This window comes from Homo sapiens, chromosome 8 (genome assembly GCF_000001405.40).
Source record: "Homo sapiens chromosome 8, GRCh38.p14 Primary Assembly".
Classification (NCBI taxonomy): Eukaryota; Metazoa; Chordata; class Mammalia; order Primates; family Hominidae; genus Homo; species Homo sapiens.
The window spans coordinates 19374989-19397050 of NC_000008.11; the positions used below are offsets into that span (position 1 = coordinate 19374989).

Sequence of the window (22062 nt, forward strand, 5' to 3'; positions counted from 1 at the left end):
GGAGTAAGAAATGGAAAATGATGGTTGTTATTAAAAGCCCTGGTACTTTAACAGGCAGTTCTGTTTGAAAGGCTGAAAGCTAGGAAGACAGAGACTAAAAATCGAGTTGGAGGTTTGGTTAAAAAATATGACTCTTGAGTTTTACGTAAAATAACTTGCATTCTTATCAATTTATTTTCACTTGTACACATATTTTTCAGACTCATAAGCAAAATAAAACTGTATAATTAATAACCATTACATAGCCATATAGTCAGTATACATCTTTATTTTCAGTTTCAAGAAGATACAGTTTCACATTTTCATGATAAAGAGAATATGCATCACATCTTATCTCTTTGAAATATAATCGCTTATCACCGGGAAGCCTGTTCTGAAATATTAGGATGGTAGCCCTTTATAGGTTTATCATCTTTTCTTTGTCACATCCACCATGAGTTACCCTTCATAAGATGCTATTTTGGTTGCCTAATTTTTCACTCCACAAAGTTTTATGCTTTCATCTTTTTCTCTCAATTAAGCTCAAGGTAAGGATGTGAGTGGGTAGGAGAGGACAAAGTGATTGAAGACTGGGATTTCTGGCTTTTGTGGCTGGGAGGAAGGTGGCTGGGCTATCAATGGAGAGAAGGAACATAGGGGATGGGGAGGGTTAGGGAAGCAGAGAAGAGAACAGAGTGTTCTATTTCACAGCATGATAAATGTAGTTAATAGAGTATTGTGTGTTTCAAAAGTGCCAAAAGAGTAAATTTCTAATGTTCTCACCAGAAAAAAAATGCTAAGTATTTTAGGTGATGGATGTGTTAATTAGTTTGATTTAATTATTCCACATTGGGTTCATATATCATAACATCAGTTGGTATCCCATAAATTTATACAATTGTAAATTTAAGATTTACAATGAAAAAGTTCCAAACTCCTCCCTGTGATCCACAATGCCTACTTGATCTGCCCCTGTCTATTGCTCCAGTCCCATCTCAAGCCACTGTACCTGCCTCGGTCACCTCTCCAGGCCTCCCTTCCATCCCTCAGACACACCACACTTGTCCCTACCTTAGGGTTCTTGCAGTTGCTCTTCCTGCACACCTTCCTTTGGCTGACTTCTTAAGGAATTGACTCACGTGATTACAGAGGCTTGGTAAGTCCCAAATCTGACAAGGTAGGAGGGAAGGCTGGAGATGCGGGGAGGAATGGCTATTCCCATCCAAATGCCCCCTGCTGGCAGCATCCCTTCCTGCTCAGGGGGAGGTCAGCCTTTGACGTAGGAAGGCCTTCAACTGACTGGACGAAGCCCACACACATTATGGAGGGTAATCTGCTTTACTCCAAGTCCTCCCATTTAAATCTCATCCAAGACCAGGCACAGTGGCTCATGTCTATAATCACAGCACTTTGGAAGGCCGAGGCAGGCGGATCACTTGAGGTCAGGAGTTTGAGACCAGCCTGACCAATGGGGCAAAACCCAATCTCTACTAAAAATACAAAAACTAGCTGGACATGGTGGTGCACACTTGTAATTCTAGCTACTCGGGAGGCTGAGGCAGGAGAATTGCTTGAACCCAGGAGGCACAGGTTATAGCGAGCTGAGATTGTGCCATTGCACTCCAGGCCTGGGCAACAGAGTGCTACTCTGTCTCAAAATAATAATAATAAAATATAAAACAAATCTCGTCCAAAAAATCCTTCCCAGAGACATCCAGAATAACTTTTGACCAAATATCTGGGACCATGGCCCAGTCAAGTTGACCCATAAAATTAAGCATGAAGGCAACTTTCTTGGTGAGACTGTGCTGGTCTGCTTGCTATAGACAACATTCAGATGAGCAGTTAGTTGTCTCCTTAATGAAGCTAGATTTAAGTTCTCAGAATGTAATCAGGCAAAATCATCTCAGAAATCCTCAAAACCACAGGCATGAAAGATCATACAAATTTTAATTTTTTCCCTTTACTTCATTAAAAAATGATTTTTCTTATGGAATATTTTAAACACAAAGTACCAAGAAAAATACAACACCAGTGATATAACAAATGTTGTATCTGTTCTCCAGGTGTAATGAATATTAACAGCCATATTTACTTCATATCTGTTTTTCTTAAGAAGTAAAACTTGCCAGGGCGGGCATGGTGGCTCATACCTGTAATCCCAGTGCTTTTGAGAGGCTAAGGCAGGTAGATCACTTGAGGTCAGGAGTTCGAGACCAGCCTGGCTAACATGTCAAGACCCCGTCTCTATTAAAAATCCAAACATGACCTGGATGTGGTGGCAGGCACCTGTAGTTCCAGCTACTTGGGAGGCTGAGGCAGGAGAATTGCTTGAACGCAGGAGGCGGAGCTGGCAGTCAGCCTAGATGGAGCCACTGTACTCCAGCCTGGGAGCAGAGTAAGACTCCATCTCAGAAAAGAAAATCTGCCATATAGAATTAAGGTCCCCTTTGTTAGTTTTCTTTTTAATCCCATTTCCTTTCCTTGTATCCTTCACTGCTCTTCTGAAGCTGTGATTTCCATCCATATTTTATATGCTGTAAACATATATATTGTAATAAAAATATACAGTATTGTGTTTAACATTTAAATGGGATCATGTTACACATATTGTTTTCCCCCAACATTGTTCCTGGGATTTGTCCTTGCTTATACACATAGACAGGCTCATTCATTTTACCTATCATGCAGTGTTTTATTATATACATTATATATATATACACACACATATATTACACACGTATCATTATTCATCTCTCCTACATTTGCTATAACTTTTTTGCTCTTACAGAAGATGATGTATACACCCTTGAACATGTCTCGCTGTAAACACATATGATCATTTCTTCAGAGTATATATCTAGAATCAGAACTCCTAGGAGGTAGGATATGTGCATCTTTAGTTACACTGCATATTGCTACATGCCCACGAAACTGATTATACCAGTATATACTCCTACCAGCTGTACTTGAGAATTTGTTTCCCTATGTACTTGCCAGTTCTTGATACTGCCAGATTCTCATTTTCCATTCCTCACAATGGAATCTTCTTATTTTAATTTGTACTAATTTATAGTGAGACTGAGCTCATATATTACTGGCTGGATGAGTAGGTCTTCTGTAATTACTTATACAGATCTTTTGACGATTTTTCTAATGAATTGATTTTTTATATTGACCTATAGGATTTTACATATTCTGGAGACTGATCCTTTGTCAATTATATGGGTTACATATATATTCTCCTAGTTTGTGACTTGTCTTTTAAGTCTTTTGACACATTTTAAGGGAGATAAGTTTTTCATTTCAATGAGGTTAAATTTAGCTATTTTTCCTTTATAGTTTCTGCTTGTTGTATCATGCACAATCCACCCATATTTTATTTTTGCATAGAATAGACATGGAGACTCTATTTATTATGTAAAAGTATGCACTATATACAAATTACCACCTTCACAGTTCTTTGTTGTTTTGGTTGTTGTTTTGAGATGGAGTCTCGCTCTTGTTGCCCAGGCTGGAGTGCAGTGGCACGATCTTGGCATACTACAACCTCTGCCTCCCAGGTTCAAGCAATTCTCCTGCCTCAGCCTCCTGAGTAGCTGGGATTACAGGGGCTTGCCACCATGCCCTGCTAACTTGTGTATTTTTAGTAGAGATGGGGTTTCATCATGTTGGCCAGGCTGGTCTCGAACCCCTGACCTCAGGTGATCCACCCTACTCAGCCTGCCAAATGGCTGGGACAACCGTTTTTAAGTGTACCATTCAGTGTTAAATATATCCATAATACTGTACAACTGGTCATGTGTGGTGGCTCCCATCTATAATCCCAGCACTTTGGGAGGCCAAGGAAGGCGGATCCTTTGAGCCCAGGAGTTTGAGATCAGCAACTTAAACATGGCAAATTCCATCTCTACAAAAAAAACATGGCAACACCCCATCTCTCCAAAAAAAAAAAAAAAAAAAATATTGCCAGGCATGGCGGTGCATGCCTGTAGTCCCAGCTGCCTGGGAGGCTAAGGCAGGAGGATCGCTTGAGTCTAGGAGACAGAGGTTGCAGTGAGCCAAGATCACGCCATGCACTCCAGCTTGGAAGACAGACCCTGCCTTAAAAAAAAAAAAAAAAAAATTTCTACAGCTATTACCACCATCCATCTGCAGAAGTTATTTCACCTTGTAAAACTGAAACTACCCATTTAATAATGCTCCATTCACCACCAACCCCCAGCCCCTGGCAACTACCATGGTGCTTTCTCTATGAATCTGACTATTCTAAATACCTCATATAAGTAGAACTGTACAGTATTTGTCTTTCTGTGAGTGGCTTATTTCATTTAGTGTCATGTCCTCAAGATTTACTCATGTTGTTGTGCATGTCAGAATTTCCTCCCTTTTCAAATCAGAATAATACTCCCTTCTATGGATGGGCCACAGTTTGCTTACCCATTATCTGTTGATGCACTCTTGAGTTGCTTCCATGTTTCAGGTATTGTGAATAGTGCTGCTGAGAACACAGGTGTAGAAATAGCTCTTCCAGACTCTGCTTTCAGTTCTTTTGGGTATTTACCCAGAGGTGGAATTTCAGGATTATAGGGTAATTCTACGGTTGAACTTTATAGAAACTGGCCATACTGTTTTCCATAGTGGCTATGCTATACTATTTTACCTTCCCACCAACAGTGGCTATGCCATACTAATTTTACCTTCCCACCAGCAGTGCACAAGAATTTCAGCTTCTCCACATCCTTGCCAGCACTTGTTATTTTTCTTTTTCCTTTTTTCTCTTTTAAGAGACAGGGTCTTGCTCTGTTGCCTAGGCTGGAGCGCAGTGGCACACTTAGAGCTCACTGCAGTCTCAAACTCCTAGGCTCAAGTAATCTTCCCACCTCAGCCTCCCGAGCAGCTGGAACTACAAGTTCCAGTACCATGACTGGCTAATTTTTTTATTTTTTGTAGAGACAGGATCTCACTGTGTTGCTCAGGCTGGTCTCAAATTCCTGGCCTCAAGCATTCCTCCCTCCTCAGCCTCCCAAAGAACTGAGATTACAGGCATGAGTCACTGTGCCTGTTATCCTTTTTTTCTCTCTCTCTTTCATAGCAACCATCCTAGTGGGTGTGAGGTCATATGTCATTACGGTTTTGAGTTGCATTTCCCTAATGACTAGTAATGTTGAGCACCTTTTCATTTGCTTATTGGCCATTTGTATATCTTCTTTGACAAATGTTTACTTGAACTCTTTGCCCAGTTTTGGATTGGGTTCTTGTTGAATTATGAGAGTTTTCTATACAGTATATTCTGGGTATCAATCCTTTATTAGATATCTAATTTAAAAATATTTTCGCCTGTTTTATGAGTTGCCTTTTTACTCTGTTGAGAGTGTCTTTTGATGTATAAAATGCTTTAATTTTCATGAAATTCGATTTGCCTCTTTTTTTCTTGTGTTGCTCGTGCCTTTGGTGTCATATCTAAGAAATCACTGCCAAATCCAATGTTGTGAAGATTTGGCCCTCTGTTTTCTTCTAAAAGTGTTCCAGTTTTAGGTCTTACATTTAAGTCTTTGATCCCTTTTGAGTTAATTTTTATATATGATGTTAGATAAGGGTCCAACTTCATTCTTTCACATGCGGTTATGCAATTTTACCAGCACCATTTGTTGAAATGACTGCCCTTTCCCTACTGAATGGTGTTAGCACCTTTGTCAAAAATCATTTGACCATGTCTATGCATTTTTATTTCTGAGTTTTTTATTATAATCTATTGGTCTATAAGTCTGTCTGTATGCCAGTACCACACTGTTTTGATTACTGTAGCATTGTAGTAAGTTTTGAAATGAGTATGTGTGACGTCTTCCTGTTTTTTCTTCTTTTTCGGGAGTGTTTTGATTATTTGGGGTCTCAAGATTCCACATGAATTTTTGGATGGGTTTTTCTATTTCTACAAAAAATGTTGGGATTTTGGTAGGGATTGCATTGAATCTGTATATCATTTTGCATAGTATTGTTGTCTTAAGTCTTCTAATCCAGGAACATGGGATGTGTTTTTATTTACTTATGTCTTCTTTATCTCAGCAATGTTTTGTAGTTTTTTTTTTTTTTAGACGGAGTCTTGCTCTGTTGCCTAGGCTGGAATGCTGAAGTGCAGTGGTATGATCTTTGCTCACTGCAACCTCCACCTCTCAAGTTCGATCAATTCTCCCATCTCAGCCTCCTGAGTAGCTGGAATTAAAGGCAACCACCACCATGCCTGGCTAATTTTTGTATTTTTAGTAGAGACAGGATTTCACTATGTTGGCCAGGCTGGTCTTGAACTCCTGACCTCAAGTGATCCACCTGCTTCAGCCTCCCAAAGTTCTGGGATTACAAGCATGAGCCACTGTGTCCAGTCATCAGTGTTTTATAGTTTTTATTGTATAAGTCTTTCACTTCCTTGGTTAATTTCTAAGTATTCTTTTTGATGATAATGTAAATGGAATTTGATTTGTAATTTCCTTCTCAGAGTGTTGTTAGTGTATAGAAATGCAACTGATTTTTGTGTGTTGTCTGTGTATCCTGCCACTTTGCTTAATTCATTTATTAGTTTTAACAGTTTTTTGTGGAATCTTTCTGGTTTTCTACATAGACGATTGTATCATCTGACAACAGAGATAATTTAACTTCTTTTCTAATTTGAATACCTTTTATTTATTTTATCTAACAGCTATAGCTAGAACTTACAGGAATAGTTGAATAGAAATGGCAAAAGTGGGCATCCCTACCTTATTCCTGATGTTAGAAGAAATGTCATTCAACATAAGTATGATGTTTGCTGTGGGTTTTTCATACATGGCCTTTACTATGTTGAGGGACTTTCCTTCTCTTCCTAGTTTGCTGAGTTTTTATCATGATAGGGTATTGCATGTTGTCGGATGCTTTTTCTGCATTAATTGAGATGAGCATGTATTTTTTTTTCATTTATCCTGTTAATACGGTGTGTTACATTGATCGATTTTCATATATTGTACCATCTTGCATTCCTCCTACTTGGTATGGTATATAATCCTGTTGATATGCTGCTGGATTAATTTTGATAGTAACCATGTTACTATAATACTAGCTTTTATAATTGCCTATGTATTTACCTTTATTGAGTTACTTGTTTCTTTATTTGGCTTTGAGTTACTGTCTGCATCCTTTCATTTCACCATGTAACATCCTTGGACATTTCTTGCATGGCAGGTTTAGTGGTAACAAACTTCCTTAGCTTTTGTTTACCCAGAAATGTCTTAATTTGCATCTCACTTTTAAAGGACAGTTTTGCCAGGATTGGCCAAAAGAATCAAGAATCAGTAGGATTCTTGATTGACAGTTATTTTTCTTTCAGTATTTTGAATATGCAGATAGTCCTCCACTTACAATGGTTTGACTTAAGATTTTTCTACCTTATGATGGTGTGAACGTGATACACATTCCGTAAAAACCATACTTCAAGTACCTGTTCAACCATTGTGTTTTTCACTTTCAATACAATATTCAATAAATTACATGGGATATTCAACGCTTATAAAATAGTCTTTGTGTTAGATGATTTTGCCAAACTGTAGGGTAATGTAAATATTCTGACCATGTTTAAGGTAGGCTAGGCAAATTATGACGTTCTGTAAGTTAGGTGTATTAAGTGCATTTTTGACTGATAATATTCTCAACTTATGCTGGGTTTATCAGGATGTACTGCCATCATAAGTTGAGGAGCATCTTTATTGGCCCACTGCTGTCTGTCCTCCAAAATTACTGATGAGAAATCTGGGGATAATCTTATTGACCATCCTTTGTATGTGATGAGTTGCTTCTCTCTCTTTTCTCTCTTGCTGCTTTTAAGATTCTTTTTTTTTTTTTTTTTTTTTTTTTGAGACAGGGTCTCACTCTGTCATCCTGGCTGGAGTACAGTGGAGTGATCTTGACTCGCTACAGCCTTGACCTCCCAGGTTCAAGCAATTCTCCTGCCTCAGCCCTGTCAAGTAGTTGGGACTATAGGCACTTGCCACCATGCCTGGCCAATCTTTGTCTTTTGACAATTTGATTGTATTATGTGTCAGTGTGGGTCTCTTTAAGTTCATCTCACTTGGATTTCATTGAATTTCTTGGATGTTTATATAATGTCTTGCATCAAATTTGGGAAGTTTTCATTATTTCTTCAAATACTCTCTCTGCCCCCTTCTCCTTCTGATAGTTCCACAAAATGTATATTGGGTCATTTGATGCTGTTCCGTAGGTCTGGTAGGCTGTGTTCACTTTTCTTTATTTTGTTCTTTCTGTTCCTCAAACTCAGTAACATCCATTGTCCTATCTTCAAGTTCAGTGATTCTTTCTTCTCCCTGCTTAAATCTGCCTGTGAATTCCTCTAGTGAATTTTTCATTTTAGTTATACTTTCAGTTCTAGGATTTGTTCTTGGTTTTTTTTTTTTTATTTTAGGTTTTCTCTTTATACTTACATTTTGTGCATACGTAAAGTCTTTGAGTAGATCTGTCATTGGGTCTTTTTCAGTGACAGTTTCTGATTTGTTTTCCTTTGAATGGGCCATATTTTCCTTTTTATTTTCATGCGTTGTGACTTTTTGCTGAAAACTGGGTATTTGAATGTAATAATGCGGTAACTCTGGGAATGTGATTCTTCCTCTTCCCGAAGGTTTACTATTTTTTTTTGTTTTTATTGTTATAGGCTTTCTCTATGTCAAGGATCAGCCTGAGGTATAAACTTACAGTCTTCACAGCTTCTTTTTTAGCCTGTATCTTTACATGGCCATGAATAGTCATAATTTTCCGCATATATGCAATTATTTTTGAATGCCCTAGTCTTTAATGTCTGGCTGCCAAAAGGGGGAAAAAATTAAGGAGGAGGGATTTTTAAAATGTAATCACTAGATTACCTAGGTTTGAGTTGGATTTTCTTCTCTGTAAAATGAGGATAATACTAATACATCTATGTCATAGGGTTGTTTTTATAAAGTAAATCAGCTGATATGTAAAGTGCTTAGAACAGTACCTAATAGGTGGTGTTTGTTATTTTGGTTTATCAGATTTGTGCAGTTTAAGTTCATCTCTCCTGTTCCCCTTTCTTTTCGTATCATTTTGAGTAACAGTGTAACTAAGCAGCACTTCAGTAAAATAGATTGTAATTACTGCAAAAACTGCCCTATGTTATTTCTACAAGTGTTTATTTAGGGCCTGTCTTTAAAAGCTAGGAGGTCACCTCAGAAGGCAACAGTAATTTGGAAGGACAGAGGGTCAACACCCTCACCAACAGAGAATGAAGTTTTTTGGGTAAGTTTGCCAGGACATTGCAGGTTAAGGTTGAGCTTGGGTTTGGGAGGGATGGTGCAAAGAGACAGGGGTGAGTCTTAGCATTGCTAAAGGAATAGCCACCATTTTCTAGATTAATGATCTTCTAAATATTGTAATTGCTTAAGTCTGCCTGATTTTGTCACCCTTTATCTCTTCTTATCCCATTGTCCTTGAACACCCATTTTTTCAGTTCCGGACTGTCTTGACCTTCACATGCAATCCTTGTTTTATTCATTTTATTCTTGCATCTGATAGCCAGATTCCAACATTAAGAAAGACCTTACAGTCTGTAATATTTGTAAACTAAGTAAGTAATGTTGGAAAGTCCTTCTGGCCAAATTTAACATCCTGCTGACTGAAGAGTCATCCCAGTTATTCTGGCTTCAGATTATGAGTCTCCAAAGTGTGTAGATACATAATTCATTTTACCCACTAACATGCTTTTAAAGTTCCCCAAGACAGGGCCAAAGAATAAATAAAATTGAGATCTGAAGTTCTGTCCAGAAACCCACAGGTTCATTTCTTCATTCTATCAACATTTTCCTACTTCTGCTAAAAATACAGCAGTTTATTGCAGCTCAGAAACTGGCAGGGACTGGGAGTGGGAAGATGGGTAAAAAGAAATCTGTGTATAAACAAGTTTATGATTTAGACAAAAATTCACATATTTGCTTTATGTATCAATAGTTGATCATTATTCCTCTGAAATTTAATGAACACTCTTACTCAAATGTGGATGTAATTAGACTGTTGATGAAATCTTTCCATCTTGATTTGTTTCTTGTGGCTGTCTTTTGCTGTCATGGCATACAACTGAACCTACCCTCCTCGTGCTTTGGTCCCAGTATTTTATATTTTAATCTACTTAGCAAGCACATCCTTTTTACTTTGGTGGGATAGCAATATAGTTCACACTTCAGCTGTTTTTTTGTTTTTTTTTTTTTTGAGACAGAGTCTTGCTCCACTACCCAGGCTAGAGTGCAGTGATGCGATCTCAGCTCACTGTAGCCTCCACCTCCCAGGTTCAAATGATTCTCCTGCCTCTGCCTCCCAGGTAGTTGGAATTACAAGGCATGGGCCACCACACCCTGCTAAGTTTTGTATTTTTAGTAGAGACCATGTTGGCCAGGCTGGTCTTGAACTTCTGACTTCAAGTGATCCACCCACCTTGGCCTCCCAAAGTGCTGGGATTACAGGCCTGAGCCACCACGCCTGGCCACACTTCAGCTATTTTGATTTCTTCCATTTTTTGATACATCCTACTGACTCTTCAGAGGGTCACTCTGAACCTCTTGGAGGTATTCTCTGGAATTGTTGTTCCCTAGAGATGGTTTTAAGGTGGAATCCTGTGTCCCACTCCTCCCAACTTCCCTTCTTCTACTCCTGACAGTTTGTCATACACAGCTCCTTCAAAACGGGGACCAGATACCACCCCCAACAGAGCATATGTCACTGAATAGGTTGCATTAAGAAGGGCTCATGGAGGCTTCCCAAAATTTCTTTCTGTCTAAGATCTTAGCAGACCTGAGTCACTACCCCTAAGTGATCATCTATCCTTCTACTATTTTGCTGAAGAATGGAGATTTCTTAATTGTGGGGCTATCAATATTCTGCCCACCTGTCACAAAGGGATTTTCAAGCTTCTGTCTTCACTGAGCACAGAGTAGTTATTTATGTGATTTCTCAAAGCCTTTTTGTTCTTAAACCTCAGATGACACATATATCCTGCCTCATTTACATGGATGACTCACACATTTTATGGCGTGGAGAGGCTGTGGCCAGCAACAATCATATATCACTGCCGGTGTGTGGCAGAGAAGGACAGCTGGAAGTCCATTCCCAGGCAGGGCTCCTTTTAGTATGAAGGCTTCACCTACATTAATGTCATTAAAGCAAAGCACGTTTTGTCCAAATTATCCTCCATGGTCCCCCTATAAAATTGCCTAGTATTTGTTCAGATTGTAAAGCAGCTGGAGAAGATGAAACAAAGAGGCTAAAACTACACACATTAATTCGGATTTGGGAAGAGCTAGCTTTTCTGCAGAACATTCTATGTAATGCTGGCTTTTTCCTGGAAGAAGCTGACTTTTCTCATAAATTAGTGCAGCAGGCTTCCTGCAAAAATGTCACTGTGTTTGCCAGTAATGTGGGGAATAGCCCATTAGCTCCAGGCTCTTACTTGGGTTTTTGCAGATGATGCACTTGAGTCCTCATCCTGACACTATCAGAGGATGGCAGTGGCTGTGCCCGGGAGCCCCAAGCTTCCCACTACACATGCCCAGGACTGGACCCTTGTAGTTCCCTGTCCTGCTCTTGGAGTCCTGAGGTTGCCTAGAGGGGCCTCAGAGGCAAGGGGCAGGTACAGTGGGTGTGTGAGAACCTAAGAAGAGAGAGTCTGCTTTGGGGGTTTCACTTGGAATTTTGAATAGAAAAGGGGTTCTACTGTTTAATTTAGTATTTTAAAAGCCATGTGTTTGTCATCAAACATTTGTTATCACATGCTTTTTTTAAAAAAAAGACAGGGTGTTGCTCTGTCACTCAGGTTGGAATGCAGTGGGGTGATCACAACTCACTGCAGCCTTGACTGTCTGGGCTCAGGTGATTCTCCCACTTCAGGCTCCTGAACAGCTGGGAATGCAGGTGTATACCACCACACCCAGATGATACTTTTTGTTGTTCTTTGTAGAGATGGGGTCTTGCCAAGCTGGAAATGCAGGTGTATACCACCACACCCAGCTAATAGTTTTTGTTGTTCTTTGTAGAGATGGGGTCTTGCCAAGCTGGAAATGCAGGTGTACACCACCACACCCAGCTAATAGTTTTTGTTGTTCTTTGTAGAGATGGGGTCTTGCCAAGCTGGAAATGCAGGTGTACACCACCACACCCAGCTAATAGTTTTTGTTGTTCTTTGTAGAGATGGGGTCTTGCCAAGCTGGAAATGCAGGTGTACACCACCACACCCAGCTAATAGTTTTTGTTGTTCTTTGTAGAGATGGGGTCTTGCCAAGCTGGAAATGCAGGTGTATACCACCACACCCAGCTAATAGTTTTTGTTGTTCTTTGTAGAGATGGGGTCTTGCCAAGCTGGAAATGCAGGTGTACACCACCACACCCAGCTAATAGTTTTTGTTGTTCTTTGTAGAGATGGGGTCTTGCCATGTTGCCCAGGCTAGTCTCAAACTCCTGGTCTCAAGTGATCCTCCCGCGTCAGCCTCCCAAAGTGCTGGGATTATGGGCATGAGACACGGCATCTGGCCATGGCCATCACATGCTTTTTTATTTTTGTACCATCACATGCTTTCTGGACAGTTTCTTCTGACACAGCCAGATCATGATGCCTGACTTCTTTATGCCAAGGGAAAGTAAGTAAGTAAGTAGTGGTTAAGAGCATGTCCCTGGGGCCACAGTGCCTGGCTTCAAATCTGAGTCTCCCCATTAATTACTTGTGTGGCTTTAGGCAGTCACATGACTCTGTCCTTCTGTCCCTGATCTGTATAATGCAGATCAGTAGGGTTGTTCCTGCCTCAATATGTGCATGTAATTTGTTGGTAATATTTGTAAAGCATGAAGAACTGTGTGGCACATAATAAGCCCTAGTTAATAAGCGTTAGCCATTTAAGATAATGAAGTGAGGATGAATAACGCTAATAGTTCTGATCCTTGACTCATTAAGGAGCTTCTCAGTCCTCAGCAGCATGAATGCTAAGCTCAGATGTTGGAAGAGTCCATGATGCACTGTCCCCACATCAAGGCATACTACACATACGTAACCAATCAAAAATGCATCTTCTTTAAGTTGCCAAGGTGAGAAATGAACACCCCTTTGTGAAATAAAGACTCATTTTATTTTCGGCTCATTCCAGGAAAATTCCATGAGCCTAGTGGGTTAAAAAGCATAGTGAGTTAAAAGCAAAACCCCAGAATAAGAGACAAGAGCCCTGGAAGTGTCATTTGCTAATCCTGCAAGCTTGGGCACTTGCCTTTTCTGCGTTAGTTTCCTCATCTATAAAATACAGATGACGATAATATCAGCTCTGCTTTTTAGAGGAAGCAACTCTAAAATGCAGTGGAAGCACATTGAACAGTGTGGTATGCCAGGGCAAAGCAGGTGTTCTGTCTGAGAGAATGGGTGAGAGCAGGGGCTCTGAGGTCAGCCAGCCTGGGTCCAATTCCAGTGCTTCTCCTGACCTACCCAAATGACCTTAAGCAGGGTTTGCAAGTTTTCTCACCAATTATTTGAGGATAATAACAATATATCTATGTAGGGTTGCGGTGAGGATAAAAGGAGGTGATACAAACTTTATTTGGCCATCTTTCATCTGATTTTTAAACACATTTTCCAGACACAGGAAGTTGTACAGATGTACCCAAATAATATTAGACCTCGTGGCACTTCAAAGAAAAATGAAATGCATCTCTTGTCCCTATGATCACAATTCTTAGAATAGAGGCAGTGGCTGCACGGAAGTGTCCCACAGAAGGAAGTTTCAGACTTGATTATAAGACACAAGCATTCATTAAACTCTTTTTCGGTCATCTTCTAAGTGGCAGGTGCTGAGTGTGTAAAAATAAATAAGATGGAGTAGTTGGCCTCTAGGAGCTCACATGGAAGTGGGGGAGGGCAGGACAGTCATGGCAGAAGGTTCTGTGAATTCTTGGAGGATTCTTGGATGGAGGGGAAAACTAGCTGAGTACACAGATGGAGGTAAGTACAGGTGAAACCCTGCATTGACCACTTGAGTGCTCAGATGGAGGTGGGAGCAGGTGCTCAGCAGGTCTAGGAGAAACTGAGACTGACTGCCTAGACTAGGATCAGGACACGTCATGTTCTGGAGTTGAATCTTGCAGAGTGAGTAGGAGTTTTCCAGGAGGAAGCTGTGGAGAAAAATACCATTGAACTGCCCTGTGGGGCAGTCCCTGCCACTTGGATTTCCAACCAGAGCCTGCTGGTGTTTGAGTTACTTCTGGGCTCTTGGGTCTGTTTACCATCTCCTATGCAAAAAATGTTTCCCCGGGGCCTTTCCTGGGCAAAATGTTTATTCTAGAGAGGTTTAGAGCTACGCTGTCCAGTTAGGGTAGCCCCTAAACACATGTGGCTTTTCCCATCAAAATGAATCACAAGCCCTATTTCAGAGTTCAGTAGCACATGTGGCAATATTTTCATTATCACACACAGAGAGGAGTGGGACCTCCTCCAGCTGCGACGGACCCTTGTGCTGCTGCTGTTTTGTAGGGTGTAGGCTCAGGAGTTTCAGTTCCTGCTCTGCCCCAGGCTCTTCAGGGCCAGACACTGCCCATCAGACCTCACGCAGTGACATCTACTTTCTTGTGGGCTGCCAGAGTTCTGCCAGTCCTGGCCTGGATTCAACTCTAAAATCAACAGACTGTTGCCTGGGTGAAGATATAGGTCACTAAACTGATAGCCTAAAATATTCCAACCTGGGCAACATGGCGAAACCCCATCTCTATGAAAATTGGCCAGGCATGGTGGCACGTGCTTGCAGTCCCAGGTACCCAGGAGGTTGAGGCTGCAGTGAGCTGAGATTGTGCCACACTGCTCCAGCTTGGGCAATGGAGTAAGACCCTGTCTTAAAAAAACAAATAAAAATTACTGCTTTTCTCTAGCACAGAAATCCTCCTATGACATCAGGTTTGGTTTCTTTAAGCTGTGCAGAGAGGGCAGGTCAGAGGGAAGCAGCACCAATGTGTCATAGCCTTTAGGGGCTGGGATGAAGACCCCTGCTTCAGAATTCTTAGAGTTGTGCAAAGGGCAATGCAGGGGACAAGTACCGTTAGGTTGACTGAGGCCGGGTGCAGTGGCTCACGCCTATCATCCCACTATCATCCCAGCACTTTGGGAGGCCGAGGTGGGCAGATCATTTGAGGCCAGGAGTTTGAGACCTGCCTGGCCAACATGGTAAAACCCTATCTCTGCTAAAAATACAAAAATTAGCTGGGCATGGTAGTGGGCTCCTGTAATCCCAGCTACACAGGAGGCTAAGGCATGAGAATCGCTTGAACCCAGGAGTCAGAAGTTGCAGTGAGCCGAGATCGCACCACTGCACTGCAGCTTGAGTGACTGTTTAAAAAAAAGAAAACGTGGAATAAGTCCTCAGTAATCAATATCTAACATTAGATTTTGGTTTTGTGCTCAAGAATTCCCTATCCCAGCAGATGAACCTCATTGCTTGGCAGTAATCACAGCCAGGACACCCCAAATGCACACAGTGCCCCTGATGGATTCATGACAGATGGATTCATGACAAACTGTACATTGACCTGTGTATTTAGCTGCACCAAGCCAGTTTGCTATTAAGGAATAGTAATCCTCTTACAAAGCAAAAAAAGCAAAGACAAACTACCACTTGGATCATTCAAAGCCTAGGCTCCAGGGCACTGCCCTTTGGAACCTGCCCTCTGTCCCATGGTGTACAAGGAGTCTCCACTATGACCTGTGCTTTGCCATCAACATGATTGATTGGGTCCTGGTGTCCCAGGAGATTAGATGGCACCAAGATCTATGCGTAAGGCTAAGGGGCTTTTGGAAAGTTTCAGTTACAGTCACTACGACCTCATTTTAAAAGGAATTTGACCTTACTTAGCCGAGGTTTGGTTATAAATTTCCAGAATAGCTTTAATTTTAGGAATCCAGATTCATCTGGATAATTTCCAGATGTCATAAATTGTAACACCTGCCCCATCTGTTGAAACAGCCTGGAATTTCATAGTGAGCCGTCAGCCTAGGAGGAGGGAGAGATCTTTTTCCAAGATGCTGCTTCTCCTCCGGTCGTGGCTCCTTGTTTCTGAAGGGGACTTTTCAGGGTCATTGAAAACATCCCTGGGTTTCGGAGTCAGTCTCATACAGTGTCTTTAGAGATTTGCCATGTGCAGTCCCCGCATGGGCTGGTACCTGGCGCCTTGTTTCAACGTATGGTTGTCATTTGTAATTTATCAATGGGACCAGGTATGCTTAGGAAGGGGAAATAGACAAACAGAAGGAGCAGCCCGTATCTGTTGGAACTTAGCCATGATTTGAGTACCTCATGGGGATAGTGGAGCATCTGAACCAAGAGGCTTTCTGTGTCCATGGTACCTACGGTGTTCCATGGGTCTGTCTCAGCAGGGAAGGGGTGGAAAAGCGACTGGACATGATACATGCAATGCATGTGCATCAGTCGTCTGCTGGGAATGAGTGTAATAGAGCCACTGCCCCTAGGAGCAAGGCCCTGGTCTGTTTCGAGGATGTTGACTATCTGCAAGTCGGGGAGACTGGCCTTTTCACCCACTCCCAGCTCTTACCTGGAGGTCTCACACTGGGTTGACCTTCATACACTGGGACTCTGCAGTGGGACACCTGGGGTCTGTGTTCTCCTAAATAGGAAGCAGGAGAAGGTCTGGTTGGATGATCTTGGCTAGAAGAAAACAGACAATTTTTAAAATCCTCCTGTCATTCAAGGGTCTGTTTACAGAAAAGAGAACAGACATGGTTTTATTTTACTCTGGAGAGAGTTCACTTCTCAATTAGCTGTACTAACAAGACAAAAGGGCTATGGCAGCCCCTTGCCTTTTCCTGAGGTGGTTCTGTTATTGTTTTGTTTTCCTGATAATAAGGTACTGAGTATCAACAGGGAGCCAACAAGAGAAGGCAAGAGCTTTGCTGAAATGAAAAAGGGCACGCGTAGAACGCTGCTCCTCCCTCCCAGATCTCAGCTCACTGAATAATTCATTGACTTCCCCATCTTTCCAAGATGCGTTTCTACTCTGTGAGTTTTACAGCATTATCTATTCATTGATGGATTATGATGGGAATAAAAAATTTGGAACATGAGTCAGACCTCATGAGTTTGGACTAACTGGGGAAAAGGCTGGTCTGGAGTAAGAGTGTGAATTCCTGAGGCATCTAAGCTATGTCTATATATAACTTCATATGTGTATATAAAGACACACATATAGTTTTATTCCTTTAAATGCCAGTGTAGTGTCATTTAGCAATAGCTACAGGCTAAGGTACTTTATAGAACTGAGTAGAACTGAGTCTGACTTGGCTCTGTCACTAAATTACTGAGCCTCCCACACCAGGGAGTCTCAATTTCAGCACTACTGCTATCTGGGGCTGGATAATTCTCTGCAGTGTGGGGCTGTTCTGTGTCTCATAGGCTGTTTAGCAACATCCCTGACCTCTAACCCCATCCTCCATCCATGACAACCAAAGATGTCTCTCGGACACCTTTGTCCGAGTGGTTGAGAACCACTGTCCTAGACCAAGTCAAATCACTCCCCAGGCCATTGAGTCCTTGTTGGTAAACTGAGGTAGCCTAGGGAGAGTATCTTTAAATCCCCTCCCAGATCTAACATTCCCAGGATGACCATCAAGGCGTTCTGTTAGACCCTTATAAACCGTCTAACACCTGTGTGTTGCTCTAAATGGGTGTATAAGTAGAAATATATTCCTTTTTTTTTTGTTTTGTTTTTTGAGATGGAGTCTTGCTCTGTTGCCCAGGCTGGAGGGAGTGCAGTGGCATGATCTCGGCTCACTGCAAGCTCCGTTTCCTGGGTTCACACCATTCTCCTGCCTCAGCCTCCTGAGTAGCTGGGACTACAGGTGCTCGCCAAAACGCCCGGCTAATTTTTTGTATTTTTAGTAGACATGGGGTTTCACCGTATTAGTCAGGATGGTCTCGATCTCCTGACCTCGTGATCCACCCACCTCGGCCTCTCAAAGTGCTGGGATTACAGGCGTGAGCCACCACGCCTGGCCCAGAAATATATTCTTCTTTTAAGGTTGACATTTAAGCTCTCATGTATACCTCTATACATGATTTTTATACAGTTTGCCTCTATAACCTGTTCATGTCTAATTAGCAAATACCAGAAGAATATTCCGTATTCCTAAGAAGCCCAAAACAGACTTAAAATTGCTCTTATTGTGTCTTATTTAGGCGTCATTGACTCTATATCCATGCAGCTGGATTTAACAGAGGGGATTTTCTGGAATGATTTGGCTGAAATACCTGCCTTTTTTTGCTTTGCCACAGGAATTCTCACACTCAAGAAAGCAAATGAACTTCTTCTGAGCACAGGCATGCCCGGCAGTTTTCTCATCCGAGTCAGTGAAAGGATCAAAGGCTATGCCCTGTCCTATCTGTCGGAGGACGGCTGTAAACATTTCCTCATCGATGCCTCTGCAGACGCCTACAGCTTCCTGGGCGTGGACCAGCTACAGCATGCCACCTTGGCGGATTTGGTGGAATATCACAAGGTGAAGCAATGCATAAACTTAATTTGCCTTCTGAGTTACTGTCCTGTAGCAGCTCTAACAATGAATGACAATTACAAAGAAAAGGACTGAGACAAGTACTGGGGAGGGGACAGGGGTGGGGGCTTGTCTTTGATAATTCTTCCTGATAATCAGGATTGTTAATCACATTTCATTTATCTTAGAACCTAGTTCTTCCTTAAATACTCAGGGAACCCCACTGGGGCAGAGAATACGGGAAATGCTAAAACAAAAAAATAAAAGCTGTACCCACATGGATCACATATGACAGCAATCCCCAAACTTTGTGACACCAGTTTCCTGGATGACAATTTCTCCATGGACTCAGTGTTGGGGGATGGTTTCAGGATGATTTAAGCACATTACATTGATTGTGCATTTTATTATTACATTGTTATATATAATGAAATAATTATACAGTTCAACATAGTGTAGAATCAGTGGGAGCCCCGAACTTGTTTTCCTGCAACTAGACAGTCCCATCTGGAGGTGATGGGGGACTGTGACAGATCATCAGGCATTAGATTTTCCTAAGGAGCGCACAACTGAGATCCCTCCCATGCACAGTTCACAATAAGGTTTGTGTTCCTATGAAAATCTAATGCTGCTACTGATCTGACAGGAGGCAGAGCTCAGGCGATAATGTGAATGACAGGGAGCAGATGTAAATACAGATGAAGCTTCACTCCACTGCTCACCTCCTGCTATACAGCCCAGTTCTAACAGGCCACAGACTGGTACTGGTCCATGGCCCTGGGGTTGGGGACCCCTGACCTATGAGAATTCATAGGCCTTAAGTTAGAATTCAAGCCCTGAAGGGAAAGGAGTACCTGGTCACATGTAGATAAGAAAAATGCCTTTTAAGATGATCATAAACCACAAAAGCTTTGTGTAAATCATGGGTAGGCAGCTAGTGATGTCCTCTGAGGAAGTAGGAAGAGCATGTGGTCACTACTTACACTATCTGACCCCGTGCCTTCTGATTGACAGGAGGAACCCATCACTTCCCTGGGGAAGGAGCTCCTTCTCTATCCCTGTGGTCAGCAGGACCAGCTGCCTGACTACCTGGAGCTGTTTGAGTGACAGCCTCCATCAGGGTCATCCTACAGCCTCCAAGCGGGCTTTCCCCTGGACAAATGCCACTGCAACATTTATGTGTGAAGCCAAAATCACCCTGCAGCAGAGCCAATACTGATCAACTGAAAGTAAAGTATCCATGGAGTCCTCATTGACACCTCTTTTCTGCACAAATACTGGAATTCAATGTCAAGAGAAAATGACCTCTGCTCAAAAGGGAGAAGAGTCTCAATTTCAGCAAGTACCTGTCATGAAGGGTATGACCTTAATGATGTACATAAAATAAAACAAATGAAGAAATGGAAAACTTTTAGAAATTAAGGTGTACTTGAAAACGAATATCTATCATATGACCCCTGCACTCCCTCTGTATCATCTCAGGAGGTTTCAGGGGCCTGTTGACATGAAGTTTCGAAGTTTCATGTTGGCTTTGGAATGGTAGCAAAAGCCTTTCCTGGCTGAGATGATGCTTAAAACACACCTCACTTATTGTACATGTTGGAACCAGGACATGAGAGACATAGAAAAACAGAAGTCATGAATGTAAATTGAATGAGAGGCTTAACATGCATGAAAATACAGATGGACCTGCAGGAAAGTGAGCAAACATCGCTGAGTTTGTTTTCTTGTTCGGGAGAATGGGGCCGGGGCTGGCCTGGCCTCCCCTGGATATACTCTATAGTGCACCAAAAGGATAAAGCATCTGTACATGTATTTTTTTATTTTTTATCAGAAGTGCTTAGACAAGAACAGAATAAGCAGGCTGTTTGGATGCTACTTGTGGTTGAATTGTGTTCCCCCAAAATATATGGTGAAGTCTTAACCCCCATCCCCGTGAATGGGACCTTGTTTGGAAATAGGGTCTTTGCAGATATAGTCAAGATGAGGTCACATTGGATTAGGGTGGGCCCCAAATCCAATGACTGGCATCCTTAGGAGAAGAGAGAGTTTTGGTAATAGACACAAATGCAGTGGGAAGAAGACCAGGGGACAAGAGGCAAGTTGGAGTGATGCAGCCGGAAGGGAAGGGACACCAAGGATCTCCGGCCACCAGCAGAAGCCAGCAGAGAGGCATGGGACAGGTTCCCCACAAGCCTTAGAAGGAAGCATGGCCCTGACTTCAGAATTCCAGACTCCAGAACTGGAAGAATAAATGTCTGTTGTTTTAAGCTGCTTAGTTCATGCTGAGTTCATGCTGACTTGTTACTATAGCCCCAGAAAGCTAATACAGTCGTTTATGTAATTACATAACCTGACACACAAGATCGACCCATTCACTGCTGCCCAGTCCACCATTTTCATAATGAAGTAGAAATGGGAGGTAAGAAAAACATTCCAGCCAGTTCTGTTTAGCCCTGGCACACATATTTGTCCCGTCAGGAATCTTATGCCCTCCTGGAACCCCCGCCCACCTCAGTCCAGTCCCAGTCAGGCGAACGGCCTCTGGACAGGGACTGAGGTGGCTCTGAGCCACTGGAGATCATTTTTCTTGGAGGATGGAGATTGGCTAGTACCTCTGGCCTAACTGTGTAGGTCAATACTCTTTTACATTGCCTTCTAATAAAAGCAGAATGATACAGCAGTGTTGTTACAAGCTTGTTGGTTGCGTACAGCACTCATTGACTATAAAATGTAGCCAGAGAAGGGGATGGTTGGCATGTGTGTTCTAATGAGAAAGATGATGGTGATTATTATTTTTAGAGACAGAGTCTTGTTCTGACACCCTGGCTGGCATGCAGTAGTGCGATCACAGCTCACTTCAGCCTCAAGCGATCCTCCTGCCTCAAACCCCCAAAGTGCTAGGATTATAGATGTGAGATACTATGCCAGGTAGAGATAGCTTTTAAACATAGATCATTGTTTAACTCTTTCTTGAAATGTTCCATGTGGTTTATATTGTTAAACTATTGTAAGGATCCATCTCTTGGCTTTTGTTCCTATGATTCAACAGTCATGGCATTATTGAGAAACTTCTCAACTCTTCCTACCATTTTCTGTATAATCTTGGACAGGACAGTTTGTCTCTGAGCCTCAGTTTTTGCTTCTGAACAAAAAAAAATATGATTCAACTGGGTGATCTTTGTTATTTTCATCCAATTCTGAAATTTTAAGGTTCTAGTGCTTCTCACTGGAATGAATGGAAAGTACCCACTTGTCACCACTAATAATTAGGAAGATGTAAGATTCCAGTACTGGCCAGGTGCAGTTGCTCATGCCTGCAATCCCATCAATTTGGGAGGCCAAAGTGGGTGGATCATGAGTTCAGGAGTTCAAGACCAGCCTGGCCAACATGGTGAAACCCCGTCTCTACTCAAAATACAAAAATTAGCCGGGGACGGTGGCATGCACCTGTAATCTCAGCTACTCTGGAGGCTGAAGCAGGAGAATTGCTTGAACCTGGGAGGCGAAAGTTG

General features: G+C 41.9%; 1 protein-coding gene across 8 annotated transcripts in view, besides 2 other annotated features; it reads left to right on the forward strand.

Moving 5' to 3' along the window:
* SH2D4A (SH2 domain containing 4A) overlaps positions 1–21230 on the forward strand; it is an 82526-nt gene extending 61296 nt beyond the window's left edge. For 6 of the 8 annotated variants that reach the window (NR_156444.2, NM_022071.4, NM_001363110.2 and 3 more), the window contains 2 exons: positions 18330–18553; positions 19562–21230. Coding sequence is in view for 7 of the 8 variants with exons in the window: in NM_022071.4 (NP_071354.2) it covers positions 18330–18553; positions 19562–19654 (317 nt within the window). In the remaining variant the exon portion in view is untranslated. Of the gene's footprint in view, positions 1–18329; positions 18554–19561 lie in introns of those variants that run through there. The other 2 variants (XM_047422080.1, XM_047422079.1) reach the window with 2 other exon arrangements.
* Positions 10900–10999: an enhancer, noted in NCBI's record as "active region_27055". NCBI's record gives its function as "activates an Ori minimal core promoter by ATAC-STARR-seq in GM12878 lymphoblastoid cells {active_cell/tissue: GM12878}" and the evidence as "EXISTENCE:reporter gene assay evidence [ECO:0000049][PMID:35858748]".
* Positions 11020–11109: an enhancer, noted in NCBI's record as "active region_27056". NCBI's record gives its function as "activates an Ori minimal core promoter by ATAC-STARR-seq in GM12878 lymphoblastoid cells {active_cell/tissue: GM12878}" and the evidence as "EXISTENCE:reporter gene assay evidence [ECO:0000049][PMID:35858748]".
* Positions 21231–22062: the final 832 nt, after the last annotated feature.